The 27,955-nt window shown below is 35.3% G+C and overlaps 1 protein-coding gene and 1 pseudogene across 23 annotated transcripts in view, besides 3 other annotated features; one reads left to right on the top strand and one right to left on the bottom strand.

Annotated features, from left to right (window-relative positions):
• TSTD3 (thiosulfate sulfurtransferase like domain containing 3) overlaps positions 1-27,955 on the bottom strand; it is a 66,727-nt pseudogene that overhangs the window by 18,617 nt on the left and 20,155 nt on the right. For 3 of the 14 annotated variants that reach the window (NR_197376.1, NR_197377.1, NR_197369.1), the window contains one exon: positions 15,358-18,933. The exons of 6 other annotated variants lie outside the window; for them this stretch is intronic. The product of NR_197376.1 is annotated as a thiosulfate sulfurtransferase like domain containing 3, transcript variant 10 (transcript). Of the gene's footprint in view, positions 1-70; positions 1,594-15,357; positions 18,934-20,774; positions 20,863-27,955 lie in introns of those variants that run through there. 5 more of the 14 variants (NR_197381.1, NR_197367.1, NR_197379.1 and 2 more) reach the window with 3 other exon arrangements.
• Positions 142-191: an enhancer, noted in NCBI's record as "active region_24862". NCBI's record gives its function as "activates an Ori minimal core promoter by ATAC-STARR-seq in GM12878 lymphoblastoid cells {active_cell/tissue: GM12878}" and the evidence as "EXISTENCE:reporter gene assay evidence [ECO:0000049][PMID:35858748]".
• Positions 312-601: an enhancer, noted in NCBI's record as "active region_24861". NCBI's record gives its function as "activates an Ori minimal core promoter by ATAC-STARR-seq in GM12878 lymphoblastoid cells {active_cell/tissue: GM12878}" and the evidence as "EXISTENCE:reporter gene assay evidence [ECO:0000049][PMID:35858748]".
• Positions 345-26,772, top strand: CCNC (cyclin C). 9 transcript variants are annotated; one of them, XM_047419485.1, is made up of 13 exons: positions 345-441; positions 2,121-2,261; positions 6,211-6,317; positions 7,478-7,562; positions 7,723-7,792; positions 10,611-10,662; positions 17,264-17,319; positions 18,131-18,166; positions 18,850-18,941; positions 19,584-19,651; positions 22,685-22,764; positions 23,929-24,047; positions 25,550-26,772. In XM_047419485.1, exons 2-13 carry the CDS (start codon positions 2,242-2,244, stop codon positions 25,602-25,604), a joined length of 840 nt encoding a protein of 279 aa, XP_047275441.1. In that variant the 5' UTR covers positions 345-441; positions 2,121-2,241; the 3' UTR covers positions 25,605-26,772. The 9 variants fall into 9 exon arrangements, with proteins under 9 accessions (XP_047275441.1, NP_001013417.1, XP_047275445.1 ...); NM_001363537.2 differs by lacking the exons at positions 345-441; positions 2,121-2,261 and adding exons at positions 499-663; positions 24,886-24,980; NM_001013399.2 differs by lacking the exon at positions 2,121-2,261.
• Positions 722-801: an enhancer, noted in NCBI's record as "active region_24860". NCBI's record gives its function as "activates an Ori minimal core promoter by ATAC-STARR-seq in GM12878 lymphoblastoid cells {active_cell/tissue: GM12878}" and the evidence as "EXISTENCE:reporter gene assay evidence [ECO:0000049][PMID:35858748]".

The following is a 27,955-nucleotide window of genomic DNA, read 5'->3' as shown; positions in this document are numbered from 1 at the left end:
GAGCAAGACTCCGTCTCAAAATAAATAAATAAATAAAGTAAAAAAAAAAAAGGAACACTTGATCCCTGAGAACAAAGTCATCTTCATTTATTTCTCTTTCCAATCACAGGAAAAATAAGTCACAAAACCTTGTACTTTATTACAATGCCACATTGTTCTGTTTTTGAAGTCCTGGAAGAGGTAATAACAGAACCCCGTATCTGAGCCACTTCGCCTAGGTTAGACCCACTCAGCAACTCCCGTGCTGAAGACAGGAGACCGAGCGGCTTGGGCCCCCGGCCAGAATTCTCAAGACGCTCTCGCGAGAGCCTTCCAACCGCCGCGAGCTCTCGTGAACACTAGTTCTCTTCAATCTCAGCACCTCCAAGGGTCAGCACCTCCCCTCCGGCTCCCTCCGCTACCGCGGGCCGGAACTTTTGTCGATAGGAACGGGTTTGCACAGTTGAGTGTTGTCGGCCGGCGTGAAGGAGACTAGGGGGCCATCCTCTTCCTTTCGCCGTCGCCGCCGCGGAGCGGAGTCGAGCCGAGCTGATTTGATCGAGGAGCGCGGTTACCGGACGGGCTGGGTCTATGGTCGCTCCGCGGGCCGCTCCGCCGGCTGGTGCTTTTTTATCAGGGCAAGCTGTGTTCCATGGCAGGGAACTTTTGGCAGAGCTCCCACTAGTAAGCGATCTTCCGTCTTCTCACCTGGGGCCGGTTTTTGGGGGAGCTGTGAGGACGGGGCCTGTGACTCCCCTGGGCCTGGATCCCAGCTCAGTTCCGAGTGCCGGGGTCCTCACGGGAGACCGCAGCGGTCAGAATCAAGATGCGCTTTTCTGAGGCGACTCCCCTCCCCGCCCCCAGCCCCAGTTTCGGGGAGGGAAGGATCTGTGAGGGGGAGGGGTGGGAGAGAGTTTCGTCTCCCGGGAAGGAACGTTTCGGAGTTTAATTTCGGATTCTTGGTTTAGCTAGGCCGCGGGGGGTCGGATAGAGTGGGCACAGGTACGGGAAGTGTGACTCAGCTCAAGACTGTGAGGCTACCTGTTCAGGACAGTTGTGGCGTGCTTTTACCTGGGGTTTCTTCGGGTGATCGGCGTCGTGGTCTTTTGTCATTCACTGTATATCTTGAGTGGATTTAATATTATGAGGAGAGGAGAGAGTCTGGCTTGTTTCTGCCTACTAACCGCTTCTTGCGCGTACTTTATGTCTAGATGGAGTTTTATATTGATAAGGTATAGGGCAGGTGCCCTCTAAATTTATCCATTTCATTAGCCTGTGCTTTATATTTTGTTTTAAAGGCCTATTTTTCCAGTGACTTTGTTTACCTGTTTCTTTAACCTTTTTCATGAATAAGTTCTTGTTTCTGTCAGTGACCATGTGAGAGCTAGAATAATATTAAAAACATTTATCCCTAAATACATTTGTTTAAGCAGGCAGGAAGGTGCGTTATGGGGTAAATTGAACATTTGAGTAGGCTTTCCACTGTATAGTTGAAAGATGAACAGAATTTGACAAGGTATCTTGGTATAATTTTTTATGCTAAGAAAGCATTAGTAAGTAATTTAAATTTCGATTCTGTGAATAGGATCTGTTCCTGATGTTCATTTTTTAGCCCTTTGCAAAGAGAAAAAAAGAAACAATGAACTCAGTAACCTATTTAAGGAAAAGCAGGTTTTCCTCTTGCTATAAAGTGATTCTGTGGAGATGACATGTTAAAGAAGCTTTACCACTGATCATATGTGTGTGTGTGTATATATATGTGTGTGTGTGTATGTATATATATATGTGTGTGTATATATGTTGCATTGTTTTCACACACTGAAATATTGCTTGGGCAAAATTAAAGTATCGAAAGTTTAGGTATTGGAGTTAGAGCTCCTGAAAAAAAAAGTTTAGGTAGTGGAGAAGAGATATTCTGATAAACTCTGAAAGAAGCTGAGAGAATTGACAAGTAGCTGACTGTTGATTTTTCAGTTTTTCAACTTAAAAAAAAAAGATCCTGCCTTATTTTCAATAGTGTTCTCATTATGCTTTCATTTATTCATAGCATTCTAAAAATATGTTTTCACTTTTCAAATATAAAATTATTATAAAGTTAAGTGTACTTCTTTGAAACTATTCTTTTCTCCCAATTCAAATAGTCCTAAAAGAAGGGACCACTTTGCCTTGCTCAAATCCCTTGAGCAGTCATGGAGTTTCTTATCTGGAAAAGGTAACGAGTGTGGAAGACAAGACAATTCTGGAAAAACAAACGAAAAGATTATGAAAGGCCATTGTCTTAGGTGAATTTGGTGAAAGAGGGCAATTGATATTAAATATGCTATATTTCATGCTTCTAAGATGCACGTTTTCACACTTTAACATCTTTGAAATCAGCATGGCAGTTGCTTTCATAGCATATGAAATAATGATGAATCCTAGATGTAATCTTAAATTTGATGAAATGCAGTATTTATAAAGTTTTTTAGTTTATTCTCCATACAGAGTTCTGTGAGGAAAACTCATAAAATGTTTGTGAAATTTATCTTTTTAAAAACATAAAATGACTCTGTGGGGATGAAATTAATTAGCAAACCACAGTGTAGTTGAGGTAGAACAAAACACAGTCTGTGACCAAAATGAACTAGAAGGGCACTAAGTATTTGCTGGTTAATTGAATGCATTAATGAACAAGTAACAAAAATAAAAACTACAAAACTAACTGTGGATACTTTATTGGTATCCACAGGAAACTGAAAATACAGTTACTTACTATCTAGAAAATAACATCATAATAGTACCATATATGGAATGTAACCAAAGCTTGAATGTATTAGAAAATCAATATCCTGAATAATTGAGAGATAATAGAAATATTCTATTTAATAATATTAAGAAGGAAACATGAAATAAACCTAAAGAAACAGAAAGACTTAAAATAGATAACGATGCTAATATATTAAAAGGAAAAAAATTATAAAAGCTAATTCTTAGAGTAAATAAAAACAGTAGACCAAACTACTGCTAGTTAAATCAGGGGAAAAAGGAATGATACAAAAATACAAAATTAGGAATGAGAAAAGTAAACCCAGGGGTACTTTTGGGTTATCTCCAGGGTTTTAAATTTGAAAGCCAAAGCAAGTTAAGAGTATTACCCAAGAGCTATGTGTTATTTCATGGGTAAATACTTTCCATCTTTCAAGAGAATCTCCTTTTGAAATTGTTCCATTTCATACAGAAAGAAGAAAAGCTTTCTAATTCTCTTTATGAAGCCATGATAACACAGAAAAATCTAGCAAAGGGAACACTAAAAACAGTCTCACTTTTGAATATTAATGCAAACATTGTAAATGAATTATTACCAAATGCAGTCTAACATTACATTGAAAGTATAAAACATGACATTGGATTTTATTATAGAAATATAGTCAATATTAAGAAATCAAGCAGTAAAGGTATTAAAAAACTAATACAATTCAACATTTATCCTTGACTAAAGCTCTTACTAAAACAGAAATAGGATGCTTCCTTAACATGAAAAACATAAAGCATCAGCAGTGGTGAAACATTGAGATAATTAGGGTGCCTATTTAAGATTTTACCAATATGCTAGTCAATACAGTTGATACAAAGGAGATATAGAAAGAATGACAAAACAGGGACAAAATTATCAATACGTGGAAATAAAATTAATGAGAAAACTCAGTTAATTGAGAAGTTATTAGAAATAATAAAGGTTTAGGAAGGTGACCAGTTATAAAATGCAAAAATAAAAGCTTTTTAAAAATGGATAGAGAAGTATAATTTACATTAGCAACAGAAAATATACAGAGGGAAAAATATAAAGAAATATACAGAACCTGTAGGAAGAAAACTTTAAAAGTCCATAGTGGCACATACAGATTTTAATAGAGTTTGAATTCTTGGTAAGATGTCATTTCTCCCCATATTGATCTTTAAATGTAATGTAATCACAAAATTTGAATGGATATTCTTTTTTAGGACTCGACATAATGCTTCTAAAGTTTAGGTCTTAGAATAATTGTGATAGAATAGTCAGAAATTTTCAGAAGAATAGAAGGGAGTATTTTTCATATCACCTATTAATTACTTAATTTTCTATGTTTTAAAGTAGCACAGCATATGAAGAAGAAAAAAATAGGAAATTATAAAGAAGATCCAAGTATAATGATAGAATTATAAATCAGGAAATACCTTAGCACATTTGGATAAGCATTTGACAACATATTTAGCTGGATCCCTGCTTTATACTCTGTACCAAAATAAATTCCAGATGGATCATAAATTGAAGGAAAAAAGCTCTTAAGGGTATTAGAAAATATGGGTGAATTGTTTTTTATCGTTTTGAATCAGGAAAGGCCTTGCTATGCCTGACAAACATGAAAGTAAAAGGTAGATTTAAGTAAGTGATTCAGATTTCTGTATTACAAATAAATACTGAGAGATATTTAAACTTGGGAGAAATTTTGCACTTATTTGACAAACAAATGATTTATTATTTATACTATACAAATTTTAGATCAGAAGAATCTCTTAATCATTAAAAAAATCGGTAATCCCATTAGAAAAATGGTCATATTAGAATTAACATTGTACAAAAGAAGAACTGTATTTGACCAATAAAGACATGGAAAGATGTTTAACCTCAAAAGTAAACTACAGGGAAAAGAAACAGTGACATACTACTTTGCCTTTAAGTTACAAAGTATTTAAAAGTGGCAGTAACCCATAGGAATTTTTTTTTTTTTTTTTTTTTTGACAGAGTCTCACTCTGTACCCCAGGCTGGAGTGCAGTGGTATGATCTCAACTCAGTGCAACTTCCACCTCCCGGGTTCAAGCAGTTCTCCTGTCTCCGCCTCCCAGGTAGCTGGGACTACAGGCGCACGCCACCACGTCCAGCTAATTTTTGTAATTTTAGTAGAGATGGAGTTTCACCATATTGGTCAGGCTGGTCTCAAACTCCTGACCTCAGGTGATCCACCCACCTCGGCCTCCCAGAGTGCTAAAATTACAGGCATGAGCCACCGCGCCCGGCCAGGATTAAATATTATAAGATTCACTCATGAACTGTTAATACAAATGGAAATTGGTATAATGTTTTTGGAGGGTAAACTGACAATGTGTATCAATAAGTTACCAGCAACACTAACCCATTAATCCTACTTCTGGGAAGTTATTTCAAATATATTATTAATCAAATATGCAAGGAGAATTACAAAGATATTCATTAAGAAGAATATCATTCAGGAAAATAGTAGGAAGAGAGTTTTTTTTTATACCAGCTATTAATTACTTAATTTTCTGTGTCTAAAATAGCACAGCATGTGAACAAGAAAAAAATAGGAAATTATAAAGAAGATCCAAGTATAATGATAGAATTATAAATTAGGAAATACCTCCATGCATTTGGATAAGCATTTGACAAAATTTTAGCTGGATCCCTACTTTGTACCAAAATAAATTCCAGATGGATCATAAATTGAAGGAAAAAAGCCCTTAAGGGTATCAGAAAATATGGGTGAAAAATGACGACCTGTATTTCCATCAGTAGAGATTGGCTAAATAATGATCCATCCATAAAGCTGTATAAAAGAATGCTGAATAACAAGTTCATTGACATAAGACTTCAAATACATATTGAATGACAAACACAGGTTCAAGATAGTTTTTTCTTTGAGTCATGTCAATTTCATATCTGGTTAAAAATAGCACACTTGACTAGGCAAGAGGAGGAGGCTATCAGTGTAACACATTCTGAGGCAGTTTTTAATATAATTAGATTTGTGAAGTAAGGAAATTAAATGCCATAGTTACCCATGAACAGCTGGAAAACTATATACTTCCTCAAATCTAAGCCACCATCAATTGGTGCCAAATAATTCCACCATTATCTTATATCACTAAGAAAGAATAAACATGCTGCCAATTAAAACACGAAGGCATCACAGATTGTAAGACATATCTTGATATCAGAGCCAGAATCAATGAAATACAAGCTAGTAACAGACTAAGGAGGAAGAAGGAAAAGATTAGAGCAGAATTTTTTCAGGACGTATTTACATTTATTAGTGAGATAATTCTTATTAGTCACGTTTCAAGAAATGTGAGAAATAATTGTCTTTAAGGTTACTTTTTGCACTTTGTACTTCTCAGAATATGAACAATGTGTTCAATCTTAGAGTGTTTCCTCTGACCTTGCTTGTTGATTTTCTGTAACATGTCTTTTCTAGTTTGCAATGGATTTTGGATAAACAAGATCTGTTGAAGGAGCGCCAAAAGGATTTAAAGTTTCTCTCAGAGGAAGAATATTGGAAGTTACAAATATTTTTTACAAATGGTAAACTTTTTTAAAAATTGGTTCAAATTGTATAGTTGGTTACCTCTGAATAAAAATGTTTTTGTGTGGTAATTTGTGAACTGTTTTAGTGCATACCTAACATTTTTGCTTATACAGGTATTCTTTTTACAACATATTCATTTATCTTTCTTTTTAGTGATCCAAATAAAGTTTTTTTGTGTGAATTTTACATATCACAGGCACTCAAGACAATTTGAAAGTGTTACCTAATCTCCCTAAGACTTTATAATAATTATTAGACCCAGTTCAAGGTTGGCTAAAGCAAAGTACTTTGAGGATAAATGATTCTTTGGATTGACATCCTATAGTGGTCGTTTCTCTTAGAACTTTGCTTTGAAGGGAAGAAGATGTAGGGATAGATCTTTACTCTGACATGTAGTAGGTTTGTCACATAATTTTTTTAACTTTCGGTTCACTATTTTGTAAACTTATCTTTTTTTTGAGGATTCGTTATGGATTTTTATGTATTATTTATTTATTTTGGTGAGCTGTATAAAGCTAAGTGTGGTGGCTCACACCTGTAATCTTAGCACTTTGGGAGGCAGAGGTGGGCAGATCACTTGAGGCCAGGAATTTGAGATGAGCCTGGCCAACATGGTGAAATTCCCTCTCTACTAAAAATACAAAAATTAGCTGGGCGTGGTGAGGCACAAGAATCACTTGAACCTGGGAGGTGGAGATTACAGTGAGCCAAGATCGTGCTACTGCATTCCAGCCTGGGCGACAGAACGAGACTCTGTCTCAAAACAACAAAAAAAGTGGTAGTATTAACAAGTTTCATAGGTGTCTAATATTTTCTTTTTATATTTATTATAAAGATACTATGAAAAGCATTAAAAATATTTAGAAGATAGAGGGGAAATATTTATTCAACTTCCTTAATGGATGAATAATTTTTTCCTGTGGGGCAATTTCTGTTTTGTTGTTGTTTTGTTGTTGTTTATGCATACCTATATATTTCTTAACACATTTGCAAATCCTAGAATTAGACCACTGTGACTCACATAGAGCATGTGTAGGTTTTTTCCTTTGTTAAAAATGAACATAATTATGATTTAACCACATGGAAGTTACTGTTCAATGTTAATATTATAATGATACCAGAAGATACATTTAAAATTTCATTATTTGCCTTTTAGTTATCCAAGCATTAGGTGAACATCTTAAATTAAGACAACAAGTTATTGCCACTGCTACGGTATATTTCAAGAGATTCTATGCCAGGTAGGATTGTTTTTATTTTATTTATTTGAACTCTTATCTAATGTTGATGAACCTTAGCACAGTGTAAATGAATCATGTGTCTACCATAGAGTTATCTTGATTTTTTTCCCAGTGTGTTTTCTGTATGAATGATATTTAACTTTGTTTTATCATATTTTAGGTATTCTCTGAAAAGTATAGATCCTGTATTAATGGCTCCTACATGTGTGTTTTTGGCATCCAAAGTAGAGGTATAAAACAATTTTCTGTTCTTCATCAAAGTGTAGTCAATGTATGTTGGTTAATCTGCCCCAGTTTTCACATGGCCTATGTAAAATTAATAAATGGTAATTTATGCAAAATACTAAAATTGTACAAAATCAAAGAAATATATACATATCCTTATATATTCACTTAACAGACACATACAGCACTTACTGTGTACCAACTGACTTAATCTTTGTAACAAACTGGAATACATAGTAGTAGTATTCCCATTTTATAAATGAGGAAACTGAGACAGAGATGAAGAACTTGCTTAAGATGATATAGCTAGTAAGTGTGAGAGCCCGTGTTTGAACCATGGGAGTCTCGTTACCAATCCTGTGTTCTTAACTACTTTCCTCTGCTGCCTTTGAGACATCTATTGTTTGGCACTGAGTAGTATTCAGTAAGTACCACAGCTTGCCTACCATAACCTGAGAATGTCCCTTATGCTTCTCACCCATATGCTTATCTTCTCCTGTCTTCCCTCCCATCATCCTGATGATTGGCTGCCTACCAAGCCAGAAGGAAGGCAAGGATTAGGGGAAGCTATAGCTATATAGAGTCTAACAAGTAAAAGTTGAGGTTGTGAGCGTAGAGAAATTAGGTAAGGGAGAGAAGATAGATAGGAACTTGCGGCAGAGACTGAATTTCTGTTCAACTGTTTTACCTTTGTAGTATTTTTGAAAGAGCTCAGCTAAAGTCCAGAAAATAATAGCAGATATTGGCTGTTTTTCATAAATAATGTAGTCTTTGGTGGTGTGAAATCTTTGCATTATGTTTCTATTTTTGGATAATGTCTTAGAGTTCTATTCTTAGAGTTGTATTCTTGAATATTGAATGTGATTTTTACCTAGTAAGTTTACATTCCTTTTGGCACCCACTTTGATTTAGTTTTGTTTTAGCCATGATTTAAGGTTATCCATGACATCTTTCCCAACTGTTACCTAAATAATGACAATTGACTCTGTTAGAAATAATATTAAGACAAGCTTTCTAGAAGTTTATGTTTTCTAATTGTGAGTGGTAGTTTAAGAAGGCAGAATCAGTTAAGGTCCTTATTATGGATTGAGTTTTCTAATTCTAATAATTCTATGTAATATTTGATTTTATTTAAATATTACCATGTAATAATTTAAAGTCTCTTAAGCACAGGCAGTATGGAGGACCAAGACAAAAAATCTTTATAAACATTTAATCTTGTAGATTAATTTGAGGATTTTAATCTATCTTACTTGTTAAATATTGTTATGTGATTTACTGAGTAGAACTCTGTGATGTGATTTACTGAATGAAAGTTTTCCCTTTGAGTTTTGGATAAAGAATTATTCCTAGGCCGGGTGTAGTGGCTCACACCTGTAATCCCAGCACTTTGGGAGGCTCAGGCGGGTGGATCACCTGAGGTCAGGAGTTTGAGACCAGCCTAACCAACATGGCAAAACCCCGTCTCTACTAAAAATACAAAAATTAGCCGGATGTGGTGGCAGATGCCTGTAATCCCAGCTACTAGGGAGGCCGAAGCATGAGAATTGCTTGAACCCATGAGGTGGAGGTTGCAGTGAGCCAAGACTATGCCACTGTACTCCAGCCTGGGTGACAGAGCAAGATTGCATCTCAAAAAAAAAAAAAAAAAGAATTATTCCTGAGAAAGAGAATGTAGTCTTTCAGATTTGGTCGTAGCATTATTATTATTTTTTTTTTATCTCTGTGACCAAATCTTTCTGTATTTTCTCTAGTTTTATGGAAATTGTATGGAAAGCTCATTTAAGAACATGTCTCAGGCTTTTACTTTTTCTTTTCAGTTATTATAGTTGGAGGTTTAAATGTAAAACAAATATATTAGTACACATACATTTCCCCTACACAGGATAAGGATGTAGGCTGAAGGTATTTAAATAGATTTTTAGTTTAGCTCCTTTTGTTGGATAAGAAACCAACTCTTGATTTTTTTATTTTAAAATGAAGTGAAGGCTTTAGAAATCTTACGAGGCAATAAATGAAACAGTATATATAAGGTGGATCATAATAAATTTTAGTATTTTCACAATGGTGGTTGTTCAGTTGAAAGAGGAAATGGGAACTGACTTTGGAAGTCTTACGTAATTCCTGTCTCCCTGTTCTAAAAAGGATAGTAACTATTTATATGGTTTTTTTTTTTTTTTAGTTCTTTTGGTGATTAATTAAGGTTTATCTTATTCACAAATTCAACTGTTTTACCATAGAATGGCATGAAGTATCTGTTAATACAGGTTGAATTGAATAGGAAACATACTTAATATTCTTGCAATTAAGTATAGAATGTAAACAATCTTCTTGGAAACTAATTTAAATGGAAAAACTGACACTGTAACCTTAAGGCTTGGTTTCTAATTTGGTACCTTTTATTGTTATTAAATTATAAAATTATTTTAAAATATGTCTTAAGTTGTAGCAATTTGGGGGAGAGGTAATACAGGCAGAATATCCGTAATCTGAAAATCCTAAATGCTCCAAAATTTGAAACGTTTTGAGGGCCAACATGACATTCAAAGGAATGCTCATTGGAACATTTTGCATTTCAGATTTTTAGATTAGGGATGCTCAACCAGTGTAATGCAAAATATTCCTAAATCAGAAAAATCTCTGATCCTAAGCATGTCAGATAAGGGGTAATCAGCCTGTACATTTAGGAGTGTAAGTACTTCACACCTCAAGTAGTTAGAAGGTGAACAGATTGTAAACAGGAGCAAGGAAATCCTGTTTTGAATAGAGTTCAGATACCCTTAGATTCATTGGGTTAACATGTACCTGCTTTTCTTTCTTTAGGAATTTGGAGTAGTTTCAAATACAAGATTGATTGCTGCTGCTACTTCTGTATGTAAGTGCAAAAAGTATATCTGCTTTAAGGATGTAATTCTAAAGAAAGCTCCAGAGTACATAGATTTTTTTTTTTTTAGTTTATGAGACATATGAGATTGGTTGGCTTTATTAAATTTCCTGAGGATAACTTTATATCTAGTGTATCTGGCAAAAAAATCAAGCTAAAAGGTTTTTTTTTAAAAAGATATAAAGATATTACTTTTAATGTTAAAATGGATAGTAATTATCAATCCAAAAACATCAACTCAGTGGCTTTTAATCTTGTAAGAGTAAAGAAAAAATTCTGTTTCCGAATTTTATTGTATTTTATTGTTTTCTAATGACTATTATGTCATTCTTATGGGTAGATATTAATATCTATGTGCAAACCCGTTCCTGTGTTGTTGGGTTGTTATGAGGACCAAATGAGTTAATATAAGCTTTTAGAACAGTGCCTTGCTTAGTATGTTACTTTGCTGAGGCTGCCATAACAAAATGCCACAGAACAGGTGGCTTAAACAACAGAAGCGTATTTTCTCACAGTTTTAGAGCATGGAAATCCAAGATCAAGGTGTCTGGCTATTCTTACATGGACCTTTCTGTGAGCACACACACTCCTGGTTTGCTGTCTTCTTCATGTGAGGACAATAGTCTTACAGAATTAGGCCCCACTCTTATGTCCTCATTTAATCTTTTTTTTTTCTTTCTTTTTTTTTTTTTTTTTTTTGAGACAGAGTCTCGCTCTGTCGCCCAGGCTGGAGTGCTCACTTCAACTTCCGCCTCCTGGGTTCAAGTGATTCTCCTGCCTCAGCCTCCTGAGTACCTGGGACTACAGGCATGTGCCACCATGCCCAGCTCATTTTTGTATTTTTTAGTAGAGACGGGGTTTCACCATGTTGGCCAGACTAGTCTCAAACTCCTGATCTCGTGATCCGCTAGCCTCGGCCTCCCAACGTGCTGGGATTATAGGTGTGAGCCACCATGTCTGGCCTGTCCTCATTTAATCTTATCCCTTTAAAGACCCTCTCTCCAAATACAGTCACATTCTGAGGTACTAGGAGTTAGGGCTTCAACATACGAATTTTGGAGGGGGACATATATTGGTCCACAATACTTGGTAAACTTTAGGGGCTATCATCATCATCATCATCTTCAATGACAACAACATCATTATCACTGGAAAACACTGTGCCAATGCAGTGGCATTGGTACCAAGGTAAAATACAAGGAATTTAAGGACAAAAAAAGAAGACAGAAACATAAAAATATTAATACAGAAGGAAATAAATAGTATAAGAGAGTTACAGAGAATGCTGTGAATGTTTTGGGTGGGAAAAGATTGTTTCATGAATCCAGAAAGGATTAAGTAGAACTTGGTGAAGGAAGTTGAACTGGGGAAATGCAAGAGATAGACAGTCTAAGAACACTGAATAGTTTAGTCAAATAGGGAAAGCTCATGAGTTAGATTAACTGAATGGTGAGTAAGGAAATAGTGGGGAAAACTCCTTACCTAATTTCAGCTAATAGAGGGCCTTCGATGCTAAATGAAGGAATCTGCACTTTGTTCTATTGACAGTAATGAAAGTTAGTTATTTGAGATGGAGTCTCGCTCAGCCGCCCAGGCTGGAGTGCAGTGGCACGATCTTGGCTCACTGCAACCTCTGCCTCCCAGGTTCAAGCGATTCTCCTGCCTCATCCTCCCTGGTAGCTGGGATTACAGGTGTGTGCCACCACGCCGGGCTAATTTTTGTATTTTTAGTAGAGATGGGGTTTCAACATTTTGGCCAGGCTGGTTTTAAACTCCTCACCTCAGGCCTCCCAAAGTGCTGAGATTACAGGCGTGAGCCACTGCACCTGGCCAGTTTTATTTATTTTTACACATGAGGGTAATGCCAGCATTGTGCATTAGGAAGGTAAATCTGACCCACCTCAGCCTCCCAAAGTGCTGAGATTACAGGCGTGAGCCACTGTGCCTGGCCAGTTTTATTTATTTTCACACATGAGGGTAATGCTAGCATTGTGCATTAGGAAGGTAAATCTGACAGAATTATGTAAGATGAATTGGAGGAGAGGGCAGGTAGAATTAGACAAATTTTGAAGTTATTTACATCCCACAACATGGATGAACCTTGAGGACATTATGGTAAGTGAAATAAGCCAGTAACAAAGACAAATATTGTGTGATTACACTTACATGGAATACTTAGTCAAATTAATAAAGATAGAAAGTAGAATGGTAGGGCTGGAGGAAGGGTGGTATAGGGAGTGATTAATGGATACAGAGTTTCAGTTTTGCAAAAATTTTGTATATCTTAACACAATTTAAAAACAAAAACCTTCTGAAATACAGTAAAACTGCAAACTGTATTGAGTGCTGTCACTTACCACAGGGTGCTATGAGAAATAAAACCTAACAAGTTTAAAGTGGAAAAAATAATTTTTAAGTTGCTGAAGTCATCCCAGTGAACACTAATGAAGGCTTAAACGAATATTGGCAGCCAGCAAGAAGAACAAACAAGCCAGATTTGAGCGATAGAGTCAGCAGTTCTTATAAAAAGAAGGGATTTAAGAAGAGTCAGAAATGTGTTTTGAGGTTTTTTTGCCTGGGGGTTGGGGAGCTGAAGCTGGTACTGAAAAAGAGAATAAGTGAGTTCTGAAAAGAATTAAATTTAATCTTTGACATTCTAAGTATAAATATGTTAGTAGAACATCCTCTTAAAAATGTGAGGCCAGCAGTAGAAATTTGGAATTTGATAACATTTAAGAGTTGCACAGGCCAGGTATGGTGGTTCCTGCTTATAATCCGAACACTTTGGGAGGCTGGAGCAGGAGGATTGCTTTAGAACAGGAGTTCAAGACCAGCCTGGACAACATAGCAAGATTCCAGCTCTGCAAAAAATTAAAGAAAAACTAACTGGGCATGGTGGCACACACCTGTAGTCCTAGCTACTCAACTAGGCTGAAGTGGGAGGGTTGCCTAAGCCCAGGAGTTCAAGGCTGCAGTAAACTGTGATTATGCCACTGCACTCCAGCCTGGGCAATGGAGTAAGACTCTGTCCCTAAAAATTAAAAAAAAAAAGAGTTCCACAATGTCTTATGCTGCATAGAAAAAGATGTGAACCAAAGAAAAAAACATCTTTGAGAGAGAACATAGTGTCATTAACAATGTGGGGGTGGAGGTAGAAGCCAGATTGCAAGGAATTAAGAAGCAAGTAGGTGCTGAGAAAGGAATAGTCTAACTATATTAAAAATATATGAAACAACTTCAGTGAAGGGAATTGGGGGAAAGGTGTTGACATAAGTAGCTTTGGAAATGATTAAGAGTGTAAGAGTAAAGGCAAAAGGAACTACACATAAGCACTGTACTCTAGTTGATAAAGTTATTACCCATGGGTGTACAAGTTAACAATTCTGATAATGCTATACATGTATATGGGAATTAAACAATTACGTAAATCAATAGCAAATGTTTGAGAGCCGGGTTTCTCATTGTTGGAGCGGGAATTTACAGATAAGCAAAGGGCTGGAAACAGCATGAACTCGTGTACCTTAATACAATATAGATGGTTAGTTACATATAGAAATATTTATAGATAAGTGTATATACATGGGTTAGTGTGTGTATTTCTTGGCTTTCTCAGCTGAAAGGGTCTATAAGCAATGACATCCCAGTAGCAATGAGCTCACCTAGTACCCATATCTTGGTTTCTAATATCATTCTCCAATAAAAGGTACCAGGGCTCCTTGGAGAAATGGTTGATTCTAGGACTGGGGCAAGAAATACACAAGATGGACCTGGACCATCTCTTAATGCCAGTAATAAAGAAGTATTCAAAACAAACAAGAAAAACAAAAACGTCTATTGATGAGGATATGTCAAAAGGATATAGGAGCTAACTAAGAGAGCTCCCACTGACCAAAGCTGAAAGAATTTGAGCATCAAAATTTTAAAAATAGCATTGGATAATAACTCAAAGTATAAACTAAATATCCATGAGTCCATACTGATATAAATAAATGAGGGAGAAGAGACATGTCTTCCATGCTGAAGAATTCCAAATAATATATGTAACTATTCTGCCCTCAAGTAGAGGGAGCATAACTCCCCACTCCTAAGGTGCTGGCTATACATGTTAACTTCCTGCTAGTGTGTACATATGGAAAGGGAGGAAAAAGGTAACTTTACAGTGGGGAAACCTGAGAAATACTGCCTTAGCCAGGCGATCAAGGTCAGTAGCAACAGTGATAAATCACATTAATATCATGTATCATTGATGTGATATGATGAAGATGGTACTTTATCTCGGTGGTCTTCCTGTCAAAAACCCATTTTCTCTAGTCTAATGAGAAAAACATCAGACAAATTCCAGTAGAGGGGCATTTGACAAAATACTTGACTGGTACTCCTAAAAACTGTCAAAGTCATCAAAAACAAGGAAAGGCTAGAAAACTGTCACAGCCAAACAGTCTAAGGAAACATGACAAATAAATATAATGTGGTATCCTAGATAAGACCCTAGGATAGAAAAAGGACATTGGTACAAACTAAGGAGATCTGAAAAAAGTACAGTTTAGTTAATAATAACATTTCAATATTGGGTCAGTAATTGTAACAAATGCGCCATACTAATGTAAGATGTTAATAGTAGGGGAAGCTGGGTGAAGGCATGTCTTAGTCCACTTGGGCTAATATAAGAAAGTACCATAGACTGGGTGGCTTTCACAACAGACATTTATTTCTCACAGTTCTGGAGGCTGGGAAGTCAATAACGGTGGGTATAAGAGAACTGTGCATGATCTCAGTGTTTGAGTCTACAAAAATAAAAGGCAGAGGAATATAATTAGGTAGAGTTTGTTTTGCTTTTTTCAAGGGAAATTTGAGCATATTAGTATGTGATGGAAGATTTACTGAAGGAGGAAGGTTAAAGATGAAAAAAATAGCAGGAGTTATCAATTGAATAGATGATAATAAGTGTATAAGTGGTAAGACAAACAATAGAGAGGAGGGATGTATTTTTCTCCAAGTTGGAGGAAAAGGATTAAAAGACAGAAAAAAATGCAGAGCAGTTTTAGCATGGAGTAACAGACATGTGACAGTATCAGGTAAATATATTCTCAATAGAGGTGTTAGGTGTCAAGGTCCAGGGGATGGGGATGTAGATTTGTTTTATATACAGAGATAATTTTACTTTGTTGATTGTCTACCATTATATAAGAACCTGTTGTGCTGGTATACTTTACATCACAAGGATTTGTAAAACTCAGAAACCTTAATAGGTACGTCTTAAATTTAAATAAAGGAGAGAAGAAAGGAAAGATTATAAATTTACTAATGTCAAGTTTAAATTATTCTAGGTTTCAAATCCTGGCAGATATTACACATCTAAATTAGCTGTAGGGCACTGAATTTGCAAAACAAATCTTTTTGAAAACATAGTGCATAGAAGAAATGGAATTTCTTTCTTTTTTTTTTTTTGAGATGGAGTCTCACTGTCACCCAGACTGGAGTGCAGTGGTGTGTTCTCAGCTCACTGCACCCTCTGCCTCCCGGGTTCAAGGGATTCTCCTGCCTCGGCCTCCCGAGTAGCCGGGACTACAGGTGCATGCCACTACACTCGCCTAATTTTTGTATTTTTAGTAGAGATGGGGTTTCACCATGTTGTCCAGGAGGTCTCGAACTCCTGACCTCAGGTGATCCACCCACCTTGGCCTCCCAAAGTGCTGGGATTACAGGCATGAGCCACTGTGCCTGGCCAGAAATGGAATTTCTTTTAATTTCAGTGAAATCACTTGGGCTTTGTACAAATGGAAGCTGACACTAAACATTTTTTAGGACCTGTCAGTAGTTACTTGGTTGAATTAAATGTGTCATAATGGCTTGAATACAGTTTCTCAAATAGTACTTATGTGTATATGCTCACACCATTTTAAGGAGATGGGGGATTGATGGTTAACATTTTTTTTTCATTTGTACTTTATTTAGTGACTAACCAATAAAGTAATAGATAATAGAGTACTAACTTTATGTGTTACTACTACTACTTTATGAGTAACTCGAGACCTTTGCATATATATTAATGCTTTTATTAAAATATATATTTTGATAAATACCTGGTCATTGTAAAAAGTTTAGAAAGTGCAGATTAGTAAAAAGTTCTTAAATCTCACAAATAACCACTGTTAACATTTTTTTGGTGTACTATCCTCCCAATATTTTATATGTATATTTTTTACCAATTGTATATATTGTAAACACATATGTAACCCCTGTGTTCCTTCTAAGCTCAGTCACTGGAAAACAGAAGAATACCATTCTGTAGCTGAAAAGATTTTAGAAATGATAAAAGCCAGTGATTTTTTTTTCCTGATCTTTTTCTTTTTTAAACATCAGAATCCTTTCTTAAGGTAGTAAATATAAAATTGAAGCTGTGTAGAGTGTCCTGCCCCCCAGTCTTTCCCCTTCCCTGAAAGTAAATAAAAATCTGCGTCCGTAAGTGTTGCCAAGAATTCCTACTGAAAATAATTTTGCTCTACCCTCTAATATTCTGCTCTGTTAAAGGAATTTTGAGTTAATTTATTTCCCATTTTCTCAGTTTAAATTTTTTTTTTATTTTCTGCAGTAAAAACTAGATTTTCATATGCCTTTCCAAAGGAATTTCCTTATAGGATGAATCATGTAAGTATATGATATAAAATGGAACAATTATCAAAGCTATATATAAACTAGCTCTATTTTATATTAGACTAAATTTAATAGTTTCCTAGAAATGGCAGTTTCAAATATTACATAAATACAGACATTATTCTAAATTAAAGCTAAATAGCTTTTACCATTTAAAAAAAATACTTCATAGTGGCGATTATCAACCCTGGCTGCTCATTAAATCACCTTGGGAACTTGTAAATAATACTGATGTTGGATCCTTTCCAGAACAACAAAATCAGAATTTTCAGCCTTGGGGCTCCCAACATTGGTACTGTGTAAAAGGTCCCAGGTGATACTACTATTTAGCTGGGATTAAAAACTAATGGAACAATATGAAATATAAGGTGAATTTCTATTGACATTTTAATAGGTATGTCCTTTTTCCACCTTGCAAGGGATTTGTTTATTCTCTTTAAGTTACATTTTTTAAATTAAGTAGAAATAATTGTATTTTTGCATTTGCTGAGTAGAAAGTATACTGGAAAATCTGATGGTTTTACAGGATATTTTAAATAAAAGTGAGTAATAAGAATGATTGTGAGAAGCTGGCTTTTCCTTACAAGGATTAAAATCCTTATAATCATAATTGCATTTCTAATAGTAATTTTTTATTGCAGATATTTATTTTAATATAAACTATGTTTATTGTCTGGATTTTTAAAACTTTTTAGTAAAAATTTTTGATAAATTACTATAATGTCTGTAATTTATGTTAGATTAAGTGGACTTATCTAATTTGGTTTCATATTGACATTTCATTGATAATCTTTGTTTTAAACAGATATTAGAATGTGAATTCTATCTGTTAGAACTAATGGTAAGTAAATCTTCTGTGATTAATAGATTAAAACATTTTTAAATTAAATGAAGTTGGAAATTATTTAAAGAAATGATTTTAGAGAGGTACATTTTAAAACCATCCACCTAATATGTGATGGTGAAATCATGGTAGCCTATTTATATTAGCACCTAGAGTCTCTCTGAAGCCTGTAAAATAATTTGTATATCCTACTTAGGATGGGAAAATTTTTCTGTTCTATAGTAAGTAACTATAATGAAAGGATTACAAACAGACAAGTCAGGACATTAAACCACCATAAATTATGTGCACAATTTGTGTGTGCGTGCAGTGTTATTTAAAGATAGATTATGTCTTTGGCAGAATTCTGCTCCTCCAGTTGGGAATTATGAATTTATAGGCTAATAAGAGGTTTCAGTGTGTTGCAGATGTGACACTTTGAGTCTCTAAGGGAATGAATGGATGCTGACTGACTGCCAACCGATTTATCAAGGTATATTCCAGAGAGAGCACTGCCTTCACTATTACGGTAGAGTTTAGGGCTGTCATACTGCTAGCTTAAGAGAATAAAAGGGAAGCAAGCATGAGTTAGTGAAATTCACTTTGAAATACACAATTACAAATCAGTTGGGTAATGATAACATTTTTGTGTTGTAATAAATCTGTTTTTTATACATACACATTTTTTAAACTGTTTCTAGGATTGTTGCTTGATAGTGTATCATCCTTATAGACCTTTGCTCCAGTATGTGCAGGACATGGGCCAAGAAGACATGTTGCTTCCCCTTGCATGGTAATTAGAACAGAAGTTATTAATAGTGTAACATGTTATTAGATAGGAAGGTTGACAATTAAATATGAAGTTAAGTATTTTTAAAGTCATTAAACTATTGCCCCAAGATATTTTATGTTGAGCAAAATACCACTTGTTGAATTTTAATAACTATAGTGGTGTAAATGCCAAAATGAAAACAATCCTAAATTATCTGTTCCATAAATATACCTATTAAAATTTAATTTTATACAAAACACAGACTGTTAACATAAAAATTAAGACTGAAGTTATCTTTAAAGTAATCAGAATACTTTTTGGTAGTCTGCAACATACATATAAATTTACTGTATAATTTCTGGTTTTTTAATTTGATTTTTCTGATTTTTAAAAAATTAGAAAAATGTGTTTATAATTTGTTATGAGATTTTGAAATTTAAAATATATTTAGCTGTAATTTTATTCATTGATATGTGCTTATTTGTTGTCACATTCATGTATCCATCCTTTTGCCTTGATGTTTTCACTTTTATAGCTGTGCTTCAGTAGTATAAAAGGAAATAAATGTGTGCAAAGATGGGAAATCTGGCCCTCTCTGGAGGAAATATACAATCAGATGAGGTAGTTCTGCTTTCAGTAATAATATGATTTACATTTCTATAGGAGGATAGTGAATGATACCTACAGAACGGATCTTTGCCTACTGTATCCTCCTTTCATGATAGCTTTAGGTATGTAAGCATGGTGTGCCTTTATGAGTTAAATTGTTATAAACTTATTTAGGTCATCCTAAACTAAATTTCACCCTATTGTACTTTATGTTTTTATGTTCCATGAAGTAATAGACTAATCCTTGCATGTGAGCTTTCAATAATATGAACTGCAACTGTCATAAATCAGGATTATTATTCCCCCACCCCCTTTTTGGTAAGTTTTTTTTTTTTTTTTTTGAAACCATTCAAAATAGTTTTAATCGGTGTCTGAATAGAACATATTTGTTTGTTTAGAGGGAAAAGTTCAGAATTAAGCCAGCTAATATTAGTTGTAGCATGTAAAATAATTGGGGCTTTCATATCCTGAGCCCAAACAAATACTCAGAGGTTGAGTAAAGGAGCATCTGTGGTCCATAATGCTTGGCTGGAGGAAGACGTTAAGTACATTCATTCTACAGTCTGTGGAAAGCAGTGCTGTAATGGGTGGAGTCAGATAGTCCTAGGCTTAAACTTTACCTCCTTTACAATTGTGGGAAAATTATCTGACCTTTCCGTGTTTGTTTCCTTAATTGTAAAATGGAGAGAATACTAATAATTCCACTGAGCCGTTTGAAGAATTAAATGAGATAGGTTGTAGAGCACCAAATAATGCCTGTTATATATTGGGCACTTGTTAATTTTTGTTCCTTTTCCTTCTATTGATTTTTTTTTTTTTTTTTTTTTGAGATGGAGTCTCACTCTGTCTCCCAGGCTGGAGTGCAGTGGTGTGATCTTGGCTCACTGCAACCTCTGCCTCCTGGGTTCAAGCGATTCTCCTGCCTACAGGAGGATTATAGGTGTCCACCACCATACCTGGCTAATTTTTGTATTTTTAGTAGAGACAGGGTTTCGCCATGTTGGCCAGGCTGGTCTTGAACTCCTGACCTCAGGTGATCCACCCTCCTTGGCCTCTCAGAGTGCTGGGATTACAGGCGTGAGCCACTGCACCCCAGCCCCTTCTATTGATTTTTATAACTCCATCCTCTTGATTTTCCCCTCTTATTTTCCATTGGTTTGTCTTTGTTCAGTTGTTCAATTATTCCTTAAATGTTGATGTTTCTTGGCCTTCTTACATCAGGGCTGACAAATAGGTTATACTTACACTTCTGTATTACTGGCAGTTCCCTGAAAGGACTGGATTTGAAAGGATTTTGAGTGGTGTCCTACCCAGTGGGTAGGAATACTGGGATCTGCATAGGTAGGAAGGAAGGGATAACAGAACATGTGTCACATCTTTGCCATCCCTGCTGTCTTCTTCTTGGGTACTTTAACTGAGATTCATGGCTTCTACTATCACTTACATGCCGAAACATTTAAATCTCTTTATTTAGCCAAGATCTTGCCACTTGGCAGTTCTTTATATCCATCTTCCTTTTACATAGCTCCGCTTGGCATCCCACCAGCACCTCAGACTCATGATGAGGATTGAGCTTATCACTTTGCCCCAAAATATGTTCCTCCTTTTAATGTCTTTGCCAGTTTGGTGAATAGCACTAGTTATATACCTTAGTTGGAAACCCAGCAGTTAGGCCCTTTCATCTCCCTCAATACCCACATGTAGTTGTTTACCAGTACATTTTGTGCCTTCCTCTCGATTGTTCCTTCTGTAATCTCATAGTCATCTTCTCATTTCTATCCATGTTACCACAGCAGTCTCCTAACTGGCTTATTAGCCTCCAGCACTCCCATCCTCAGAGAGCCTGTCTATCTTCCAAACTGTTGAGCTAGGCTAGTGGTTTCACCTGGGGATAATTTTGCCCCGAGGGGACATTTGGCAATGTTTGGTTTTAGTTGTCATAACTAGGGTAGGGTGCTACTAGCATCTAGTGGGTAGAAGCCAGGGATGCTGCCAAGCATCTTGTAGTATTCAAGACAGTGTCAAAGAATTGTTCAACCTAAGATGTCAGTAGTGCCAAGATTGAGAAACCCGGAGCTAGCCAAATTCGTCTCCCAATTGATATACATACTATTCTCTTCTCCCACTCTCATTTTTTTTTTTTGTAAGACTTGGCTTAGATATCAGCTCTTCAGTGACCCTCCCCCACCCTTTCAGCATCACCTCAGTCTGGGTTTAGGATGCTTCCTCAATCTTCAGTGTACTCTATGCATGCCCATGTTAATAGCATTGTCCACTGTATTTTAATTTCCTGTTTTTATCATGTCAGTCATTTGGTTTTTTTTAACCTCTTCTTGACCTAAGCCCTACTCATAGCTTTGCTTGACTTAGGGCAACCAGTGTGTCAGTTCACATTTGAGTTGCTATTTGCCTAGAATGTCATCCTTAGCAAAGACATGGATAACCAGACCACGGAGTATAACTTAAGCTGGAGTGGGTTAAGGGTATACAGGCTGCTCAGTAGAAATTGTTTTAGGCAAAATTATGATGTAGATTCCTCTCTTTTGTTAGTTTATATTGTATATAACATATATAACTAATATTGTATACAGTATATTACATTTATTTTCTAACCTTTATTTGATTACAACACTGAATTCTGTAAGGATGTGCCCAGCTTTCACATAACTTGATCATGTGCTAATAATGAAAAGGAAGAAAAAAGGCCAGGCAACACTGCTTTTAACTGAAATGTGGAAACACAGTCAACATTGTTAAAACCTAGTATATTAATTAACATTTTTGTTTGTTTTGTTTTGTCACACTGACTTCTGGGTGCAGTTTAACGGCTACTTTGTACACTACTCAGGGATAACTTCCCTTTTCTGCTCTCCTCATTGGATGTTTTTCCTCTTTAACGTGCCTGACTCTCAAGGCAACTGCACCATGACTAGCACGCAGTGAGGACCAGATGTCAAGAACTTGATGTAATCTAGTAATTTTTTCTGTCTCGGATTACATTGATGAGATGGTCAGTGGTAACTCTCATATGTAGCTGTTTAATGTTTTTTAAAGAGTGTTGGAAAATACACAGGAAATAGTGAAAAATCTTTGTTAGATCATATATTCTGTGTTTGCAGTTAAACATGGACAGTTGTCTCTCATTTTCATTTCAGCTTGCCTACATGTAGCCTGTGTTGTACAGCAGAAAGATGCCAGGCAATGGTTTGCTGAGCTTTCTGTGGATATGGAAAAGGTATTCCCTTAGTTGTATGTAAACTTGGATGTTTAAAAATTAATGTCATATTTACTTATCATGAGCCTAAAATCTTGTGATGTCCACCAGGCTAAGAAGATTATTGGTTACAAAATATTAAGAAACATGGGCTGGGCATGGTGGTTTGTGTCTGTAATCCCAGCACTTTGGGAGGCCTAGGTGGGCGGATCACCTGAGGTCAGGAGTTCAAGACCAGCCTGACCAATATGGTGAAACCCCGTCTCTACTGAAAATACAAAAATTAGCTGGGTGTGGTGGCATGCACCTGTACTCCCAGCTACTCGGGAGGCTGAGACAGAATTGCTTGAACCTGGGAGGCAGAGGTTGCAGTGAGCCAAGATCGTGCCACTGCACGCGAGCCTGGGCAACAGAGCGAGACTCCGTTTAAAAAAAAAAAAAGTTTGGTAGGAAGAGTTAATGCTGATTATTTAAGTTATGTATCTCTTTTCAGTTTAGGATTAAACAGAATGGTAAACTTTTGGTTTAATTGGTTGCAAAGTAGCCTCTCATTCCCAGGATTATTTTAAAAGCTCCCTGGTAACCACTGAATACTACTGTGAACTTCTGTAACATAGCCTATCTCCTGGCAGAATGGCTTTTGCTGTGTTTCTAGCTTTTCTGCTCAAGTGTTAAATGCATTAAAATTAATCCTAAGGTTAGGTTCTACTCAGGTGGGAAAAAAATAGCTAATTTGTTAACTAGTTGTTTCAAATTTGTAGCTGCCAGTTTTTGAGCACCTTAATGTATGTGTAGTAACAGAGAATCAAAACATCTTTTGTGCACTACCCCCGATTAAGTTGTTTAAAATAATTTATACTAGAGGAGTGTGCTCTATAGTGGTATATTCCCTCATGATTAGAACCTTTATTCTTAGTATGTTTCAGTTTAAAAGATACCATCAGATGGAAGGAAATCAGCTGCAGAGATAGATAAGAATGGACAATGCACACATGCTGAAAAATGAGATGCTAGAAGGAAAATCCTAAACAGCACTGTGGTGAAAAATACTGCTTTCAAATTTATCAGGATTTAAGGACAGAGACTATTTACTGTTTTCTGAGGGTTGTGTAGTGATGTATGCTCTTTATATAAAAAATGTTGCTTGTTTTTGCCACTGAGAACTTTTCAAATATTTTCTTCTAGATTTTGGAAATAATCAGGGTTATTTTAAAACTATATGAGCAGTGGAAGAATTTCGATGAGAGAAAAGAGATGGCAACCATTCTTAGTAAGATGCCAAAACCAAAACCACCTCCAAACAGGTACTTTGTAGACTTTAATTATTGATGTCATTTAATCATATATCATACTTACTATATTTTTCTTAGATTATGTTGTTTTGTAGTTTTTAAAACATTTCTTCCAAAACTTCATGATCCATGTTAATTTTATTTTTTAAATTTGTGATTTGATTGAGAATGTCTCATTTAAAAAAATCACTAATCTGATTAGTAACTTTTCCTAATGCAGTGGAGGTATATTACAGGTATCTCTCAACATATGGTCATATACCATAAATTTAAAGCTGACAGAATTAGGTAAGTTCATCTGAAATTCAGGGCAGAATTCAGAACTATAGTAGTTTCATGTCAGTTTGATTCTGTGCCATCTTTTTTTTTTTTTTTTTTCACTGCTGGCTATTGTCCTGTTTTATAAATTTCAGTAGCAATTTTCAAAAATTTCAATGAATGATCTGATATTGTAAAGATAAAGAATTTTGGTTTTTAAGTGACCCTAAGGTCCATGGCACATAAGAATATATTTTTGCTAAAAATGAATCACCTGTGCTAAGAGGGTTTTTTTTGTTGTTATTGGGGTGTATGTGTGTGTTTTAAGTAAGATGTGTTCATTTAGTTCAGTGGTTCTCAGCCCTCACTGTGTATCAGTTCATTTGGGGCAGGGAGAAAAAGTCAGAAGGGAAATAAAGAAATGCCATCCATCTTAATTGTTTCTTTAGAAAAATGATTGTTATATAACAAGATAGATTTATGGATTGCTACTCATAAGTTAATGTTACAATTTGGAAAAAGTTAATACTTTATTCAAGGAGCTGTTTAAGGCAGTCATTCAAACAGCTACCTTTGGATGCATTTTTTGCAGAAATTCCCTGAGTGATTCTCCACTAGTGGCAGGGCCTGAAGCTGCAAGATGATGGTGGACAAGATAAGGCAATAATCCTATTGCCAAAGTTACTGGTATTTTCAGTTTTAGTTATTTTTAAGTATTCAGCATTTTTATTTTAAGTATTCAGCATTTTCCAGGAAATTACCATATTTCTTGCTGACTTATAAAGGTTTGCTGTATTTATATATGATTTTATTATGCCTTTGGACAACAGTTTTGGTTTTTTTTTTTTTTTGAAGAACACTTCTTGTTTTTCATAAATAGTAGGAATAGGATTTTATATGTAAGATTTAATTTTATAGGAAATTTGTTTAGAAGAAGCTGTAATCTCTATGTTGAGTGATACCTGTAATAACAATGAAATCCCATACCCTAATTTAAAGTTTTTGAGTATATATGGACACTAACTTCCAGAATGCTTGTTATATGTGAGGGCACAAAGTTATATAAGAATAAAAACATAAAACCAATGTTTGTTAGTCTTCTGGATTTTAATTTTTCACGTGTCTTATAATGAGGAATGTCTTTGTTTTGTATAGTTGTGCCACAGAATAATGAATTTAAAAGTCAGTAGGCTTATCAGGGTGTAAAAATGGATCTTTTAATTGGTATAAAATCTCTTTCTTCCCCATTTGAACAGTGAAGGAGAGCAGGGTCCAAATGGAAGTCAGAACTCTAGCTACAGCCAATCTTAAAACATTCCGAAGAATTCCATAGTGGACCACTTGGAAATAAACCATTGGACAGATTTCAGTAATGTCTTCAGTGGAACACAAATGAAAATGAATAGCTTGTTTCTGTCAAGCATATTGGAAAGTGATTTTATTTTTGCAAAATAAGTTTTTCTTTAATATGATTCTAGTACATAATTGATTAAAATCTCTTGATTATAAATGTTTGGAAAGGTTCTAAGGGGACCTACAGACAGACATACATAGACATTTCAAAATTAATAGCTTTTGATTAGTATAATATTTCTTAATTTGGATAATAAAAATTGTAGCTTTTTATTAAGCCAGGAAACATGAAGCATAATTTGTTTAAAATTCTCTTTGGTCATTGAGGGACCAAAAAAGGACGTAAAATTTACAGTCAATCTATGAGGGTTTTTTTCCCTCCATAAGTTTAACTTTAAAACTGTATTTAAGGAATCAAATCTTACAAAATCCTGGAAGATTTTGGTAATGATGTTGATAATTTCAGGGAAATTAATCAAGTACCTATATTGATTTAAAAGTGTATTTTATTCAGTAGTTTGAGGATCTTGCCATGGAAGATACTAGCCCAGCCTAGCAGAAAAGTGCAATATGTATAGCATACTTTGACATTTTAAACATGATAGTCCATAACCATTTTGAAATGCTGGGCAAACTACATGAAGTTATTTATAATTAATTCACAGCTAATCAGGCATTTTGAAAGCTTAATTGGATTCAAAAACCATAATGTTGGAATTTGGTAAAATTTTAATGTTGATTTTTACTGTGAAAAGGTTTTTATAAGATATACACACCCTAGTTTAATGTTGTGTCTTGGTGTGGATTTACAGATTTACTACAGGTATTCTGAACCAGGAACACAATCAGGTTTCAGGCCAGTTTGATACTGGCTGTCCTTAATTCTAATATGAGAGTAGGACATCATACTAAATGTTATGTCAGTGGGACTGTACTGTCTGTGGAACTTAGCAAATTAATCATTTTCTTCAGACTTGAAGGAGAGTGATAAATAAAATTTGGAGTCATAGGATATTGATGCACAATTTAAGGATTAAACATTTTTAATCAATTGTGGATGATGGCTTATTAAATGTTGACTTCCTAGTATAAAACTGCAAGAATAAAAGTAACTTCTCCAGCTGTATCGACTAGTGTCTTGAATTTATCTTTTTGAATTTGCCTGATGTTGTTTTTTGAGAATTCTTCTTCCTTTAGTTAAGTGTTAAAGCCTTTTATAGGTTGTCAAGGGGGTAATTTCAAATCATTACAAACAGATTTTAAATAGAAAATTTATTTCTGATGGAGCGTATCAAATGAGCTGGAAAGCGAGACTGTGTAAAGTCAGACTGATGACATATATAGGTTTCCTGGGCTTAATAAGAAAAAAAGCTCTCCTCAGGTCTGAAGGAATTAATGTTGGGCTTAGGTAAGACCTATAGTCTTTAAGTGTTTATTTTTAAAATTAATACCATGCCTCATAGTTTTGTTTTCAGTCTCTTATTGTGGAAGATTTAAAACAACATATACAGGAGTAAAGTAAGGAACCTCCATGTACCTATCATCTAGCTTCAGTAGTTATCAATTTATGGCCAATTTCATTTCATCTAAACTCCCACCCACTTTCCGTAAGTTGCCATCCCCCATCTTATTTTGAAGCAAATCCTAGATATCATATAATTTTATCCATAAATATTTCAGCATATATTCCTAAGAAATAATAGCTCTTTAAAAAAACTAAAAGTATTATTGTGCCTCAAAAAGAATTAGTAAAAATAATATCAGATTTTCAGTTATTTCACAAGTATAAAAATTGTTAGAGTTCTAGTCAGGATCTAAATAAGGATCACATATTACAATTTATTGACAAGTCTTTTGTCTTGTTATTATTTTATTTTCTTTTTTTTTTTTTAGATGGAGTCTCACTCTGTCGCCCAGGCAGGAGTGCAGTGGCGCAATCTTGTTCACTGCAACCTCTGCCTCCTGGGTTCGAGTGATTCTCCAGCCTCAGCCTCCAGAGTAGCTGTGTCTACAGGTGCATGCCACCACGCCTGGCTAATTTTTTGTATTTTTATTAGAGACAGGGCTTCGCCATGTTAGCCAGGCTGGTCAGGAACTCCTGACCTAAGTGATCTGTCCACTTCAGGCTCCCAAAGTGCTGAGATTACGGGCGTGCGCCACTGCACCCAGCCATGTCTTTTTAAATTCATGAATTCCTTCCCAGTCACATTTTTAAAATTCCTGTTTTTGGTTTGCTTGTCTACTAAGAGTCTCTCACCATCTGGATTTTGCTGATTGCATCCTTGACATGCCATTTAATGTGTTATTTT

Source organism: Homo sapiens, chromosome 6 (genome assembly GCF_000001405.40).
Source record: "Homo sapiens chromosome 6, GRCh38.p14 Primary Assembly".
NCBI classification, from domain to species: domain Eukaryota; kingdom Metazoa; phylum Chordata; class Mammalia; order Primates; family Hominidae; genus Homo; species Homo sapiens.
This window is presented reverse-complemented; position numbering and strand designations above follow the sequence as displayed.

Bases quoted from the DNA above. Each gene is read 5' to 3' on its own strand.
- CCNC (NM_005190.4), top strand. From the start codon at position 632: ATGGCAGGGAACTTTTGGCAGAGCTCCCACTA. The intron at 17,320-18,130 runs GTAAGTATATGA...TGTTTTAAACAG, and splicing joins TTCCTTATAGGATGAATCAT to ATATTAGAATGTGAATTCTA. The intron at 18,942-19,583 runs GTAATTAGAACA...ACATTTCTATAG, and splicing joins ATGTTGCTTCCCCTTGCATG to GAGGATAGTGAATGATACCT.